The sequence below is a fragment of the Homo sapiens genome, chromosome 1, assembly GCF_000001405.40.
Source record: "Homo sapiens chromosome 1, GRCh38.p14 Primary Assembly".
NCBI lineage: Eukaryota > Metazoa > Chordata > Mammalia > Primates > Hominidae > Homo > Homo sapiens.
Genome location: NC_000001.11, coordinates 3,609,154 through 3,624,800, shown reverse-complemented (window position 1 = coordinate 3,624,800; position 15,647 = coordinate 3,609,154). Strand labels below are relative to the sequence as shown.

Here is a 15,647-nt window from a genome sequence, read left to right as displayed (position 1 = left end):
CTCACTTCCTGTTTACACAACGAGAAGGGGCGGGGCCGAAGCCGGTTGCCAGGGTGTCGCGGAGCGGCTGGGAAGGAGGGGCTGGGAATCTTGGAGCCCCTTGGCCCGCGGGGAAAGCGGGTGACCCGCCCTGCAAGTGGGATGCCCCCTTCGGCCTTCTGGAGCGCAGGTGGGGGCGCGCGCCCATCGGGGGCTCGCACTGCACGGAGGGTCGCGGTGCCGGGGAGCTGAGGTTGGAGGATGCAGGGCGGCGGCCCTGGTGCACCGTGGGGGAGTTCGCACGCCGGGCAGCGATCTTCTGCCGGGACCTGGCGTTCTTCACACACGGCTTATTCGTGACGGATCCACAGAGCAATGCACTCTGAAGCCGGAGGGTAGAAAGTGCTGGAATGCGCGCCCGGGCCCAGGCTGTCGCGAGCCTTCAGCAAGCCAGTGCACACAGAGAGGGCTGCCCAGAGATCCCGGTCAGCGCTCGCAGTTCGAGGTGGAACATGTGTGTGCCCTGCGCTAGCCCCAGCTCCCGGAGGTGCCCCCAGCGCGTGTGGAGGGGGGCGGTGAACGGACCCGCAATCTGGTGGAGGCTGCGGGAAGGAGGCGCAGAGTCCAGGGGTCAGGGTTACCTTCGGGCAGGAGGACAGATCCCTCTGCTCGGAGGTGAGGAAGACACACGAGGCGAGGTGCACACAGGCGAGGAGAGTGAGATGGGGGGAGAATGAGGAGTTCAGGATACATCTGTTTACTTCAGTCAGGGAGTGGGGATGGAGCGGAGTATTTGTAAAGATGGACGGTTTAGAATCGCCGGGATGAGAACCGGGCAGGGAGCTGATCAGGGAAGGGCATGGGGATCTCTGAGCAGCTGGGAGACCCCAGGGAAGTTTGCAGTGGCGCCTCCCACGCGGCAGCTGGGGGAGTGGAAGAAACCAATGCTGGCTGGTCTAGATGGAGGAGTTTGCTGGGTAGCGGTGGTCAAAGACCAGAGAGAAAAGGGAGGCCAAAATCCTAGAGGGAGTGTTGCCCAAGAATGGTGGAGTGCAGGGATTCTGCCCCACTTGCCAGCAGACAGGCCAGGCTGCCAAAGTTGCATGGGCGCTGGCAGAAAGACCCAATACCCCTGGAGTCAGAGAGGAAAGACTACAACAGGAAACGGGCGACGCTGGTGTGCCCAGACGCATGTTGCACCACAGCGGGTGCACTACAAAACAGGACCCTGGATCCTGTGGACCAATGTGGTCTTTGTCCCACAGGGAGGCTGTCTCCCCGGCAAGGGTGCCCACTGCAAGCACAGGCGTGAGAAATGGCCCAGAAAAGAGTGGTCAGGGCAATGTGTTCTTGGCACGCCCAGCAAGACCTGCCAGAGGGACCTACAGACGAGTGTCTCCCAGCTATCTTACCAGCGGGGACCTTGAGGTCCAAGTATCCAGTCCGGTTAGAAATGGCCGCGGATCCAACAGGTGCTGGTGAGTGGGAGAATACCCCTGAGGGAGGAAGAACAGAGGCCGGGAGGGAGCTGAGTGGATGTAGATGAGAAATACCTGGACAGCTGCAAGCTGTAGTCAGTGATGGGCAACTGGAACCAGAGATTCCAGAGAGAGGGAGGGAGAAAGAGGGAGGAGAAGGGAGAATGAGAAAGAGAGGGAGAGAGAATGGGGGGGAGAAAGAGGGAGAATGGGGGAGAGAGGTAGGAGCAAGTTCTGGACCACGCCAAGGATGGAGCTGTGGTCCTGGAACCAGATGTCCAGGGAATGGGATGAAGTGACACTGGCTGGGGCCGAGGCTGCAGACTGCTGGTGGGAGCTGGCAGGACAATGAGGATTCTGAACCAGGTGCCTGAGCCTTCTGTGGATATGGGGAGTGACTTGGATGTCTATAAATTCCAGAAATGATAGGAGGGATAGATGATGGAGGGACTGTATTTTAGACAATAAACAAATTTCACTCAGTATGGATGAGTTTCCTGGGGCTTCTGTCACAATGCATCACAAACTGGTTTTAAAAACAACAACTGTTTTAAAAACAACAGAAACGTGTTTCCTCATAGCCCTGGAGGCCAGAAGTGCAAAATCAAGGAGTGTGCAGGGCCATGCTCCCTCTGCAGCCCTGAGGGTTGACGCATGTCTTGCTCTGCCAGGCCTGCTTGGTGTCCTGGGCTTGCTCATGCACTGCTCCCATCCCTGCCTCCATCTTCACACGACCTTCTCCAGGTGGGTCTCTTCTGCAACATCCCTGTTGGATTAGGGACCACCCTAGTGACCTCATCTTTAGTCGATCATCATCATGTTTGATCAAATAAGGTCACTGTGTTTGTTTGTTTTCCCACTGCTATTAATATGAAGAACTTACCTGAAGCTGGGTAATTTATAAAGAAAAGAGGTTTCATTGACTCACAGTTACACATGACTGGGGAGACCTTAGGAAACTTACAATCATGGCGGAAGGCAAAGGGGAAGCAAGGCACGTCTTACATGGCGGCGGGGGTAGTGGGATGTGCCACACTTAAACCATCAGATCTTGTGAGAACTATGACAAGAACAGCACGGGGGAAATCGCCCCCATGCTCCAATCACCTCCCACCAGGTCCCTCCCTCGACATGTGGGGATTACAATTCGAGATGAGATTTGGGTGGGGACACAGCTAAACCATATCATTCTACCCCGGCCCCTCCTAAATCTCATGTCCTTTTTACATTTCAAAACCAATCATGCCCTCCCAACAGTCCCCCAAAGTCTTATTTCAGCATTAACTCAAAAGTCCACAGTCCAAAGTCTCATCTGAGACAAAGTCCCTTCTGCCTATGAACCTGTAAAATCAAAAACAAGTTAGTTACTTCCAAGGTATAATGGAGGTACTGGCACTCGGTAAATGGTCCCATTCCAAAAGGGAGAATTTGGCCAAAACAAAGGGGCTAAAAGCCCCATGCAAGTCCAAAATCTAGTGGGTTAGTCATTATATCTTACAGCTCCAAAATAATCTCCTTTGACTGCATGTCTCACATCCAGGGCCACACTGATGCAAGGGGTGGGCTTCCAAGGCCTTGGGAAGCTCTGCCCCTGAGTGCCTACGGCTTTTCCAGGTGCAGGGTGCAAGCTGCTGGTAGATCTACCATTCTGGGGTCTGGAGGACAGTGTCCCCCTTCTCGTAGCTCCACTAGTCAGTGCCTGTGGGCAGCAAGCCACCCCGGTGCTGAGGCAAGAGACCGAGGGCACGAGCTGTTCCGGTGTAATAAGATATATAAAATAACAAGAGTTATACTAGATCTAGATCATAGATATGATTATATGTAAATATCATTAATCATTAATTTGTAGTAATTGCTCTTTATTCCAATATTATAATAATCCTCGCTCTACAATCATAACCTAGAAAAAACCAGGCCGTACAGAGATGGGAGCTGAGGGGACATGGTGAGAAGTGACCAGAAGACAAGTGCGAGCCTTCTGTTATGCCCGGACAGGGCCACCAGAGGGCTCCTTGGTCTAGCGGTAACACCAGCGTCTGGGAAGACGCCTGTTACCAAGCGGACCGTGGTCTAGTGGCAGCGTCAGTGCCAAGGGAAAAGCACCCACTACTGAGCAGACCAGGAAAAGGAGTCTCCCTTTCCCCAGGGGAGTTTAGAGAAGACTCTACTCCTCCACCTCTTGTGGAGGGCCTGACATTAGTCAGGCTTGCCCACAGTTATCTGGAGGCCTGTCTCCCTGTGATGCTGTGCTTCAGTGGTCATGCTCCTGGTCCGCTTTCATGTTCCATCCTGTACACCTGGCTCTGCCTTTTAGATAGCAGGTGCAAAATTAGTGGAAGTACCAGAAGTCTCTGATATGCGGAAATAATGGCGTAAGCTGTCTCTCCTCTCTCTCTCCGCCTCAGCTGCCAAACGGGGAAGGGCCCCCTGTCCAGTGGACATGTGAACCACGTGACCTTACCTATCATTGGAGATGAGTCACACTCCTTACCCTGCCCCCTTGTCTTGTACCCAATAAATAACAGCGCAGCCAGGCATTCGGGGCTGCTACCGGTCTCCGCGCCTTGGTAATAGTGGTCCCCCAGGGCCCAGCTGTCTTTTCTTCTATCTCTTTCTCTTGTGTCTTTATTTCTACGATCTCTCATCTCTGCACATGGGGAGAAAGACCCACTGACCCTGTAGGGCTGGTCCCTACAAGTGCCCCAGTGGGGACTCCGTGTGTGGAGGCTCCCACCCCACATTTCCCCTCTGCATTGCCCTAGCAGAGGTTCTCCATGAGGGCTCTGCCCCTGCAGCAGACTTCAGCCTGGACTTCTAGGTGTTTCCATACATCCTCTGAAATCTAGGCAGAGTCTCCCGAAGTTCACCTCTTGTCTTCTGCACACCTACGGGCTCCGCCTGGGCTGTCCCTTGACCCCTTTTGGCCCTGACTGGAGCTGATTTTGCCCCCAAGGCCTCTGGGCCTGTGATGGGAGGGTCTGCCGTGAAGCTCTCTGAAATGTCTTGGAGACATTTCTACAGCTGATGGCTTGAATTTCTCCCCCAGACAATGGGTTTTCTACCACATAGTCAGGCTGCAAATTTTCCAAACTTTTATGTCCTGCTTTGCTTTTAAACATAAGTTCCAATTTCAGATCATCTCCTTGTGAACGCACATGACTGTACACTTTCAGAAAAAGCCAGCTCACATCTCAAATGCTTTGCCGCTTAGAAATTTCTTCTGCCAGATACCCTAAATCATCTCTCTCAAATTCAAAGTTCCACGGATCTCTAGGGCAGGGACAAAATGCTCCTAGTCTCTTTACTAAAATATAGCTTTGCTCCAGTTCCCAGTAAGTTCCTCATTTTCGTCTGAGACCACATCAGCCTGGACATTGTCCGTATCACTATCAGCATTTCGGTCAGAACCATTCAACAAGTCTCTAGGAAGTTCCAAACTTTCCCACAGCTTCCTGTCTTCTGAGCCCTCCAAACTGTTCCAACCTCTGCCCATTACCCAGTTCCAAAATCACCTCCACATTTTCAGGTATCTTAATATCAGTGCCCACTATCCTGCTACCAATTTTCTGTATTAGTCCACGTTCACACTCCTATAAAGAACTACCTGAGCCTGGGTAATTTATAAAGGAAAGAGGTTCAATTGACTCACCATTACACCCGGCTGGGGAGGCCTCAGGAAACTTACAGTCATGGCGGAAGATGAAGGGGAAGCATGGCGGCAGGGGTGACGGGGGCGGGAAGTGCCACACATTTAAACCATCAGATCTCCTGAGAACTGACTATCACGAGAACAGCAAGGGAGAAATCTGCCCCCATGATGCAATCTCTTCCCACCAGGCCCCTCTCTCGACACGTGGGGGATTACAATTGGAGATGACATTTGGGTGGGGGCATACAGCCAAACCATACCAGTCATATCACACGCACTGGGGTTAAGACTGGACTGTGCCTTTCTGGGGGACACATGTAATGATGTGTCACACGTGCATGATGGAACGTCCAGCCGGATGGCTGCTCTCTCCACACACACTGGTCGTGGGGCAGGGAAGATGGTTCGTGATTGGGGTGTGGCTGTGAGGTCCCGGGAGGGGAGCCCCTGAGTTTGTGTATTTCTTGGGGCTTTGAAGGAGCTATTTCCATTTCTGTCAGCAGGTGGCAGCATCACCCATGCGAGGTCTTCCAATTAGAGGGCGCAGCTTCACGCTGGGTGTGTGTATTCAGGCCCTACATGAAGTCATTATTTATCTTCCTGCCACTGGAAATCTCCGCTGGGAAGTGTGGGTTTTTATCTTAATTTCCACATGTTATGGTTTTGCATTTTACAAAATCAGTGGGTCCTGCCTGTGCCCTTGTTCTCCGATGGATGTGGGAGTCAGGGGGCCACGTGCCAAAGGGCAGCCCAAGGGTTTGTGTCCTCTAGGTGCCGGCACCAGCTCCCCCAGGTTGGAGGTCAGTGTGCAGCCTGGAGGCTCTTCCCTCAGGCAGGGTCCTGGGCTTCCAGAGACAGCTGTGCTTTGGGGGATGCACTTTGGGCTGAGGAATGTTTCTCAGCCTCTCCCTTCTCCATGGAGCCAGGGCTGGGGCTTGGCGGGTCCCAGGGCTGTGTACGAGGGCTGGCAGTGCTTGGGGCAGTCGTGAGCGCTCAGGTGGTGTCTTGCAGACACAGCCCTTACTCTTTGGCAAGTCATGACAGAAGCAGAAGCAACTTCCACAAATAAATGCCTCTCCCTGCCGGCGGGGAAGGGGCCTTTCGGATGGGTTTGAGGATCAAGAGCAGGCTGCGGGGAAGTAGCAGGGGTGTCATTCTCGTGCAGTTCTCAAAGGCTGAGTCGCGTTGATGGTAATTTCCTCCACCTCTGCACCCCAGCAGGAGGATGGTTTTGCGCTGCTTCCCACCTGCCCCTCGCCGTGTGGGGCCCAGGGTCCCCAGGTGGTCTCTCGGCCGTGGATCCAGTGGGAAGGCCTGGTCTCGAGGGGTGGGCTTCCTTTGGGTGAGTGGGACCCAGGAGGAGGCTGGGAGACTTCAGGTTAACTTGGGGGCCAGAAGGTCTTAAACAGAATGTTGCTGGGGACTGTGTGTCGGTTCTGGTTCTGGTCAGCGTGGCAGGCAGGGTGCGGCCCACACCGCTCTGACCTTGAGAAATGCAAGGGCTGCACTGCACAAAGCCTGCTGGACAGCAGGGCGCCCTGCCTCCCAGGCTTGGCCTTGCTGGGGATGGCGCCGGGGTGATGGGGGAGCCTCTGTCTATTCCTGTGTGTAGGTGCTGCTAAGGTGGCTGGGGCCAGGGGCCTGCAGGGTGTCGCTGCCCCAGGGCAGGGCAGGGCAGCACCCGCTGTGGAGGCCCCGCTCCTCTCTGGGCCGGGGGCTCCCCAGGGACAGGGCCTTGGGTGCCTCACTCAGGAGTTTCCTGCAGTGCTGTAACAAGTGACCGAGGACCGGGCCAGCCTGTCTCTCTCCCAGCTTCTGGCAGCTCCAGCAACCCCCGGTTCCCCTTGGCTCATGGACACATCGCCTCGGTCTCCACGCTGCGCTCTCCCTGTGGCTCTGTCTCAAATCTCCCTCTGCTTTCTCTTACAAGGACGCCTGTCCGAGGATTTACAGCCTGCCGGGAAAATCCAGGATGCTCTCATCCGGAGATCCTTTACTTGATTATATCTGCAAACACCTTTTTTTCTTTCCCAGTTTAATTTATTTTTTCTTCAAATTTTGTTTTAAGTTCAGGGGTCCATGTGCAGGATGTGCAGGTTTGTGACACAGGTAAATGTGTGCCGTGGTGGTTTGCTGTGCAGGTCAGCCGTCACCTGGTTATTCAGCCCAGCATCCATTAGCTCTTCTTCCTGATGCTCTCCCTCCCCACCACCCCTCCACAGGCCCCAGCGAGTGCTGTTCCCCACATGTGTCCATGTGTTCTCATCATTCAGCTCCCACTCATAAGTGAGAACATGGGGCAGACACCCTTTTTTCAAATAAGGTCACATTCACGGGTGGCAGGGGAGGATGTGGGCCAACGTCTTTGGAGGCCACTCTTCAACCCAGTAGGCTGTGTCCTGAGCTGCTAGCATGGTGGCGGGAGTAGGTACAGTTTTCCATCTGAGTGTCAGCACCTGGTCTGAAACACCTTCATATTTCCAGACCTAGCTTCATCCTGATGCTGCCCCCGAGGTTGGAGGGAGGGATGGCAGGAGCCGGGGGTGGGAGGGCGGGCAGTTGTGGGGGCCTGCATGGCACAGCCCAGGCCTGTGTGTCCGGGGTTGGAGGGTTGGAGGGAGGGATGGCGGGAGCAGGGTGTAGAGGGGGAAGCCTGCACGCCGCAGCCCAGGCCTGTGTGTCTGGCCACTGTCTGGTCCTCAGAACAATAGCTGTGCTTGCTGGTACCATGGTTCAAACGCTGAGCAGGAACTGGAACCGGAGGTTGCCCCTCTGCTGTCTCCATTGTCATTCAGGAGGACACAGGCACAGAACCAGGAAGGAAGACATCCCAGCCAGGCGGCAGTTGGGACACTGGGGTTCTGACCGGGCCATCTGCTCCGGGATTCCCGTTCTCCCCCGCCACGCTTGGGGCCACATCACACAGCCCACCTTAGGTATGCCACAGATTGATCTTTTCACTTTACTTTCTCTTTTGGGGCAAATTCAGAGGCTTAGAAATGAATTCAGAGTCGGCTACCCAAAGGCTGGCCATAGACTCAGTTACGTATTTGGTGCAGGGTTTCTGGTGCGATCCTTTGCTATCTGGAGAGACTCCCACCCCGTCTCTCACCCCCGGCCTCCCACCCCCTCTCTCACCCCCGTCTCTGGCCATCACCTGCACGTGCTGGGTGTTGCTGGATTTTGTGGTCATCTCACACTGGGGGTGCTGGCACAGACTGGGGCGGTCCGGGGTGGTCGTTGGTGTTGATGTGAGGAACAGACCGGGGCGGTACGGGGCAGTCGTTGGTGTTGACGTGAGGACTGCTGCGGGCACCTTGCATCTGAGGGTCAGAAAACACCTTTAGCATCAATGACTTTGCTCACTCTCCTATCAGGAGAAATGTCTGTGAAAATTCAGAAAAGATGCTGGATTATTTTCTTGGATTGACAGAAATGTTCGTTCGGGGAGCTTTCAGGGATGTTTTGCATCTCTCTGTGGGACTCTCAGCTCTGGAAGGATTAAAGTCAGGCTGCAGGGAAGGAGCGTGCAACCGCCAGCCCGCGGACCGGACATGGGGAGCAGTTTGCTTTGGAAATTAGCACCTTGAGTTATCCACTGAGCTGGTAGTTTGATTCTTCTTTCTCCCTACGTTATTTCTCCTCCATCCAAAGGCTGTTTTTATTATTTCCAGCAGAGAATGAGACAAAAACATGGAAAGGTAGTGTCTTTTAGTAATGCTTTTCAGGCAAGCTAGAGGAATTGTTTGCCAGATTTAAAAATGGAAGAAATGGAAGCCTGTCCACTCCTTATGTCTACTGGGGAGAGGCTCTGAGCCAAGCCCAGTTCTGCGTGTAACCCAGGAGTGGTGGCCTGGGTGCCCCACCAGGCCTGAAGCAGTCGAGGCCAGGTGGGATAAAGAGGGGAGAAGCAGGAGAGCTGAGCCCACTGGATAGGGTGGGGGGTGGAGAGGCTGGGACCAGGTGGGTGGGTCCCACACGCGGGCTTCCATGCCAGGTGCTGTGGCTCAGGGCCCTCTTGCAGGCCCGGGTGCGGGCATCTACATTTGGGGTCTAATATAGACCTCCATTCGGCCTGCTTCCCACCTGGTGCCTTCCCAAGAACACGCAGGGATGTGATGACTCACCGGGTCTGTACTTCCTAAGTGGAGTTGGCATACCTAACAGTGGAATTGGGATGTTTGGCTATGATTTCCTGAAAGGTGTTTAGGATGGAACTTGGTCTGGGAGCTGAGGCCTGAGCTGCAGCTGTAACCCAACAGGTCTCTGAAGCCATGGGAAGCCCCCACTTGGAAAGAGGACCAGAGGGAGGCCAGTGGGTCCAGCCATGGGACCAGCGGGTTCTAATACCTGCGCTCTGCACCAGGGGGCAGTGCCCTGCAACAATCTCTGCAGCCGCCCTTTCTCTCCTTTGCCTCCTTGGGGGGTCAGAAAGTGCACCCCCTGCTGCGGTCCCTGCCCTTCCCAAAGTTTGACGACTCTGAAAATGTCCTTTTTTCTCCATGCATACATTTAAGGCAATTGCAATGAGAAGTCCAATGCAACTTTGAAGGGACTGGGCAAAGTGACTCCAAAATTCATTTGGAAGAATGACGGATGGGAATTATCAGTGTAATTTTCAGGGGAAAGATGAGAGTAGTGGGGAGGTACTGGCTGTGCCGTCGTTTAGACAAGCTCCTGATAAGCTGTCATGAGAATCAACACGGCAGGCCCTTCTGTCTCATCCTGGGAATGCAGGGCAAGGAGGTTAAACGGTCTGGGGCTGAGCTAAGACCCAGTGGAAATACCCAGAGACAGAGTCTGTTTGTGATGAGTTCAGGATGAAGAGGCTGCCTCGCATCAGTGGAAGGAGCTGGGCTGGCTGCTGGTGCCTGAACCACTGGCTAACCAGGGAGATTCCTCCTTCACGGCGGACAGCAGAATAAATGCTGAGGGAAATACGTAAATAAATGCAATGGAAGCAACAAAAAAGAATAAACATTAGTGAACCTTCTAAGCTTAGTGCTTACTTCTAAGCAATGGAGGGAACTGCAGAGGAAAAACTACATACATCTTAGTACATGAAATTCAAAGCTTATATAGTCTGACAACCTCAGTAACCATATTAAAACCAAAACTACAGACTGGGAAAATGTTTGCAGTAACTGTCCCACAGACTGTCACTTTATTATGAAAATGGACAAAGATCATTCTTGGAGAATATTTACTGTGCTCTGCGTAGTTTATTTTTTGCTACAAAAGAAACCTTGTCTACCATGAGTTCAATCTGCATACAGAAGTGTATTAAACACACACGCCAGGCTGATGCCTTTTTTCATGTATCAAGTCTAGGCACCCTCTTTGGCGCTCGGCTGTCTTGTGGGCAGGAAGACACACTTTGGGACTGAGACAGTCACATGTCTGAGTGACACCCATGCCCTCCAGTACCAGGCTGGGCAGAGGACCTGGGCTTAGGGTGGAGGGGGTGAGATATAGGGGCACGGACAGCCCCAGGGGCCTGCCTGTCAGAGAAGTGAGCTGCCTGCTGTGCCTGAGAATGAGGGTTCTGTCTATGGACGAGCGAGCGCAGTGGGGGAAGACCACAGACCTCCCCGGTGGATTGCCCCCATCACCCTGAAAGGCGTGGGAAAAAGCTATGCATGGCCTGGGAGGGCACGGCAGGTGTCCTGACCGCAGGGATTTCCAGCAGGAAGGACATATCCCCTTCCTGCCTGCCTCTCCACCTGGGGCCTACCCAGGACTCTTCCCCCAGCTGCTCAACACAATGCCTGGGACAGGAGAGCACAGCAGCAGTGCCTGGGACAGGGGAGAGCACAGCGGCAGTGCCTGGGACAGGGGAGAGCACAGCGGCAGTGCCTGGGACAGGGGAGAGCACAGCGGCAGGGTTCTGCGGGGCCAGCAGAGGTCATGTTTCAGGGCCCTAGAAATGCATACACGAGGCCGAGTATTTTTGTAAAATAACTTACTTTTATATGATTTTTCTTCCAGAGGGCCCCTCATTTTATACGTTTCAGGCTGCTTGAAACCTGAACCCTCCCCTGCCCAGAGACCTCCTTTTGAACCCACAGGATCCATCCACATTCTTTCCTTCTTCCTCTGATAAGCTGGAGAATGTTCTCAAACAGTGAGTCATCCTCCTCCACCCCCGTCCCAGGGCCGGCTGGAATTCAGCAGAGAAGCAGGTGAACTTCTTCAAGGTGTTAATTCATTCACTTGACACACACTTGCTGACCACCCATGGGTGCCAAGCCAGCTCTCAAAGAGCAGGAATCAGATGTAAAGATGGGGAAGCCATTCCACAGCTCTCAGGGTGGGGGAGACACTCACGGGCTTGCACCTCCACCCGAGGACAGGGGCCCAGCGCAGAAGTGGGGCACTGGGGAGGTTTTCTTGGGTGCAGGCTCTTGGGAGACCAGGAGGAAAGTAGCCCCCAAACCCAGGCTTGGGGCAGCCCCTGCAGCCGAGATCCCGGGAAGGGTGGTCAGTGGGGGTGGGTGAGAGGCAGAATTGAGAACCCCGTAGGACAGAGTAGGGCAGTGTTTGGAGCATCAGCAACGGGGGCACCAACTGGTAGCTGGGGTTTTAGAAGACAGTGAACTAGCTCACCTCTTGGGGATTCCTGGCTATTTTGTGCCTGTCAATGGTTGTTGTTGTTGTTTATAAGCAGCAGATTACAGGGTTAGGCGAAGGTCCCCAGAGCCAGACCCCTATGTTCAGTTCCCGGATCTGCAGTTCACAAGCTGGGTGATTTGGGGTGCTCCCCCTCCTGTGACCTAGGTCTCCCCTTCTGTAAAGCTGGGGTGACAGCAAGGCTGGCCAGACGGCCACCCACCCCCAGAGGACTGTAGCCTCCAGGTGGTGTGGAGGCACAGACAGCCTGTGTGTGTTGGGGGTACTGTTGTCCCTCCTATCGGGACAGTCAGGGGGTGCTCCCTTCCCAAGCCCCTCCCAGCCAGGGCTCCCTCCAGTGCTCCCTATTAGCGAAGTTCCTCCCCCAAACCACACGAAGCCTTGGAGGGGGAAGGTTCCAAGGAACAGGGCCTGGCCAGGCTTCAGTGGCTGAGCTGATGGTCAGCGCACCTCTCTAGCAGGGACCGGCATGGCTGGCTCTTTGTGTGGCTAATGAGGGGGCCACACCTGGCCCCCATCCGGTCTCACCCAGGTTGCACCTCCCTCCGCTATTCAAAAAGAGACTCTCCTGAGTGTCTGGTAGCTCTGACACCAGAGACTCCATCTCCATCCCTGAGACTACCTGGTCCTGGCCCCTGGAGTCAATTTCAAACCAAAACCAGGTTTCAAAGGAGACAAGTGAATCTTGCTTCGCAGAAGCCTCACCCTAGACAGTGCCTCTCTGCCCATGGGCACCCTAGAAGTTAGCACCCTAGACAGTGCCTCTGTGCCCATGGGCACCCTAGAAATTAGCGCCTCCTCCTGTCTGTGGCTGCTGGGACCCCGCGCCCACCCACTCCAGGCCACTGTCCAAGAACATGCAGCACAGAAAGAGGAACGGGGATGCCCAGAAGGTGGTTGGGAACCAACAATGCAGGTCCCCGAAGCAGGGGTGTCCAGGGTGCACGCGGGCTGCAGAGGCTGGCCACGCCCTCCTCAAGCCCTTCCCCGACCCCTGCCCTGCGGGAAGTGGGTGAGGTGTCAGGGCGAAGGTGGACGGAGCGTCCACGGGCAGGACAAGCCGAGGCTGGCTTCCCCGTGGGACTTGAGAAGTGAGGGAGGCTGAGGGCTGTCTCCTGAGATCGAGGTCTGGGGTCCGGGATCCCAGAGAGCTGCCTTTGCGGGGTGTGGCCCCCTGGCGCCCGGCCCCTCCTGGATTGGTCACTGGAGTCGGTTAGGACTTGGACTTTCCGCATGAGACGAGCAGGGAGCGCAAAGGGGCTGCGCCAGCCCCGCGGGGTCTGGGGCGGGACTCGGGAAGGCTGTGGGCGGGGCCGGGACCGGAGAGGGGAGGGGGCTAGGGGCGGGGCTGGAAGCAGGAGCCGGGCTGGGGTGAGGGATACGGGCAAGTACAGGGGCCGTGCCGGGGGCGGGGCGCTGGTGGGGTAGGAGATGGGGAGGGGGAAGGGGCGGGGCCGAGGGCGCAGGGGGCGGGCGAGCCAGGGCGGGTCGGGACTGGGGTCCGGGCTGGGGGCGGGCCGGGGGCGTGGCGGCTTTCCAGGCTCTGAGTCCGGGGCACTGTGCTCAACGCGCCGGGGCGAGTTCCTGCAGGGTGGACCCGGCGATCAGGTCTCCGCGGTGCCACTTTGGGCGCGGGCGGGAAGCCGGGACGCTCCGCACCTGCAGCGACCTTGGGCTCCGCGGAGCGGGCGCGGGCACCTGTGGCTGCGTCCTATGGCGCACGTGGAGGCGGAGGCTCCGGGGAGCCGCCGGGGCCGCCTGTGAGCCGGAGAGCGGAGGAGGCACCGGCGCGCACGATGTCGTTCCTTGAAGAGGCGAGGGCAGCGGGGCGCGCGGTGGTCCTGGCGTTGGTGCTGCTGCTGCTCCCCGCCGTGCCCGTGGGCGCCAGCGTTCCGCCGCGGCCCCTGCTCCCGCTGCAGCCCGGCATGTGAGTAGCAGGAGCTGGGAGGGCTCGGCCGGTCGTCCAGGGACCCCGGGGCCTCTGGAGGCCCGTGGTGGACCGAGCTCCGAGGCTTTGTCCCTGGGGCTCCAGAACAATGGGCTGTTTGCGTTAACTGGGGAGGAGGTGGCTGAGACACAGGGCTCCAGGGTCGAGTCTGGGGCCCTTCTGTGGCAGGGCCCCTCGCCGTGTCCCCTCCCCCCCTCCCACTCTCCCCTTCTTTTGCTCCGTGATGTGGGTCCTGCAGGCTCAGGCAGATACTGTACTTGGAAGCGGTGAGGAATCTGGGCCCCTTTCCGGGCAGGGTCTGGCCCCAGAGCCCGGCTGGGAGAAGGCAGAGAGGAAGCCGTCTGTTCCCGCTTCCCTCCAAAGCCTGTCTCCTGGGGTCTGGGGGCCTTCGCAGGGGCGAGCAGTGCCCAGATGGGGGAGCTGAATGGAGTTGGTCTGTGTGGTAAACATGTGTGCTTTGGGCTGTTGGAGAAGGAACTGAGTGCCAGAATGGGCAGGAAGCCAGCCGAGATGAATTTAATTTTGAAAGATGATTCCCCAACGGGCCGTTTAGCGGTCTCTCATGAACAGCAAATCAATCCTTGTGTTGGCCTCAAAGGAAAACGTGCGGCAGTGGAGGAGGAGGAGGAGGAGGAGGAGGAGGGGAGTCGCTGGCGCCCCCACCCAGCACTCCCTGGCCTTGCTGGCAGGGGTGGGTGGGCGAGGGCCAGGTCCAGGTGAAGGCCTCCTGTCTGACAGCCTCCCCGTCCAGGGGCCACAGAGGGGCCCTCAGGCTGTTCCCGTCCAGCACTCCCCAGCAGGGCCTGGTGCTCTAGGGCCCACCACAAACCTGGCGGTGCAGGACCAAGCTGCAGCTGGCTGGGGACTGACAGAAGAAGCTGCCACGTCGAGCTGGTGAAGAGGAGGGGGTCCAAGCTCCCAAGACCCCACCCTGGGTCTGGCTTTACTCCAGAAAGTGGAGGCCTTTTCAAAGCCATGCTGTCCCTGGGTTGGGGGCCTTGGCATCCGCAGTGTGAACGGCCCTAGTCCTGACTCCACATGACGGCGGGACATTCCTCTTTCCTGTGATTCCAATGCCTTTGTCCGAGGAGAGCTGCAGGCTCAGAAGGGACACAACAGTGGCCTTCGCTGCTCAGCCAGCCACCTCCTCCCAGGACCAGCCAGGGGCTTCCAGGGGCATAGGCTCCCCAGAGTCCCAGGGGTGGGCTGCTGCTTGGCGGAGGTGGATGTCCCGCTGTCTCTGCTCGGATGTCCCTGCTCTTGCGAGGGGCCTCTGCCACCAGTGCACTGTGGAAACCGTCAGCGACCTTCCTGGGCCCGCTGCCGGACTCAGACTTGCTGGGGTCTCCAGGGGAGGAGTGGAGGGTCTGCTTCCTGTGTCCTGCCTCTGCACCTGGGCTCGGGAGGTCCTTCGTGACCCTGGGGCAAAGCTGTTTGAAGTGGTGGAAATGGGTTGCAGCAGAGTTGGCTCTCTTTGCTCATCCTTTCTCCAAGCCTCCCCTCCTCTCCCTTCTCTGTCCTTCACATCCTGCTCTTCTCCTGGGGAGCCTCCCTGGCTGCAGTAAGTGGCGGTGGCTGCGCTGGGGGCCTGTGCCCCTGGTTTATCTTCTTGGCTGCAGGCGTATCCACTGGAGGCCTCTGCTCACAGATCGTCCACCAGCGAGAGTCTGAGTTCTGTGACGGTGGCAGGCGTGCCTTCCACAGGCCTGTTGTCCTGTAAGCACCTGGCACGTGCCTGGACGTGCAGCCAGGCCGCAGTGGGCCGGAGTTGGTGGGCTGAGTGAGTGCGGGGACCCTGCGCTGGACCCTGGAGAGGTCCCCACTGGGCTGTGGAGTGCAGGGCCCGTTCTGAGGCTCACTCTGTGGAGCAGAAAGGAGGAGGAAGCTGTGGGCTCTGGTACGGGGGTGGGGCAAGGGCGCTGTTGGCTCCCTTACCCCAGAGGAGCAGGCCAGATCCCAGAGA

At 56.9% G+C, this 15,647-nt stretch overlaps 1 protein-coding gene across 13 annotated transcripts in view, besides 5 other annotated features; it reads left to right on the top strand.

Moving 5' to 3' along the window:
• Positions 15 to 15,647, top strand: part of MEGF6 (multiple EGF like domains 6) — a 136,836-nt gene continuing 121,203 nt past the window's right edge. For 10 of the 13 annotated variants that reach the window (XM_047448229.1, XM_047448217.1, XM_047448220.1 and 7 more), the window contains exon 1: positions 13,293 to 13,663. In XM_047448229.1, coding sequence (XP_047304185.1) covers positions 13,533 to 13,663 — 131 coding nt within the window. In that variant the 5' untranslated portion in view covers positions 13,293 to 13,532. Of the gene's footprint in view, positions 494 to 1,244; positions 1,458 to 13,292; positions 13,664 to 15,647 lie in introns of those variants that run through there. The other 3 variants (XM_017000533.3, XM_011540886.3, XM_011540888.4) reach the window with 1 other exon arrangement.
• Positions 393 to 512: an enhancer, noted in NCBI's record as "active region_60". NCBI's record gives its function as "activates an Ori minimal core promoter by ATAC-STARR-seq in GM12878 lymphoblastoid cells {active_cell/tissue: GM12878}" and the evidence as "EXISTENCE:reporter gene assay evidence [ECO:0000049][PMID:35858748]".
• Positions 5,387 to 6,295: an enhancer, noted in NCBI's record as "H3K4me1 hESC enhancer chr1:3535070-3535978 (GRCh37/hg19 assembly coordinates)". NCBI's record gives its function as "activates a minimal SCP1, AML or CMV promoter by ChIP-STARR-seq in primed H9 embryonic stem cells {active_cell/tissue: H9 hESC(primed)}" and the evidence as "EXISTENCE:reporter gene assay evidence [ECO:0000049][PMID:30033119]".
• Positions 5,401 to 5,450: an enhancer, noted in NCBI's record as "active region_59". NCBI's record gives its function as "activates an Ori minimal core promoter by ATAC-STARR-seq in GM12878 lymphoblastoid cells {active_cell/tissue: GM12878}" and the evidence as "EXISTENCE:reporter gene assay evidence [ECO:0000049][PMID:35858748]".
• Positions 10,264 to 11,009: an enhancer, noted in NCBI's record as "H3K27ac-H3K4me1 hESC enhancer chr1:3530356-3531101 (GRCh37/hg19 assembly coordinates)". NCBI's record gives its function as "activates a minimal SCP1, AML or CMV promoter by ChIP-STARR-seq in primed H9 embryonic stem cells {active_cell/tissue: H9 hESC(primed)}" and the evidence as "EXISTENCE:reporter gene assay evidence [ECO:0000049][PMID:30033119]".
• Positions 11,010 to 11,756: an enhancer, noted in NCBI's record as "H3K27ac-H3K4me1 hESC enhancer chr1:3529609-3530355 (GRCh37/hg19 assembly coordinates)". NCBI's record gives its function as "activates a minimal SCP1, AML or CMV promoter by ChIP-STARR-seq in primed H9 embryonic stem cells {active_cell/tissue: H9 hESC(primed)}" and the evidence as "EXISTENCE:reporter gene assay evidence [ECO:0000049][PMID:30033119]".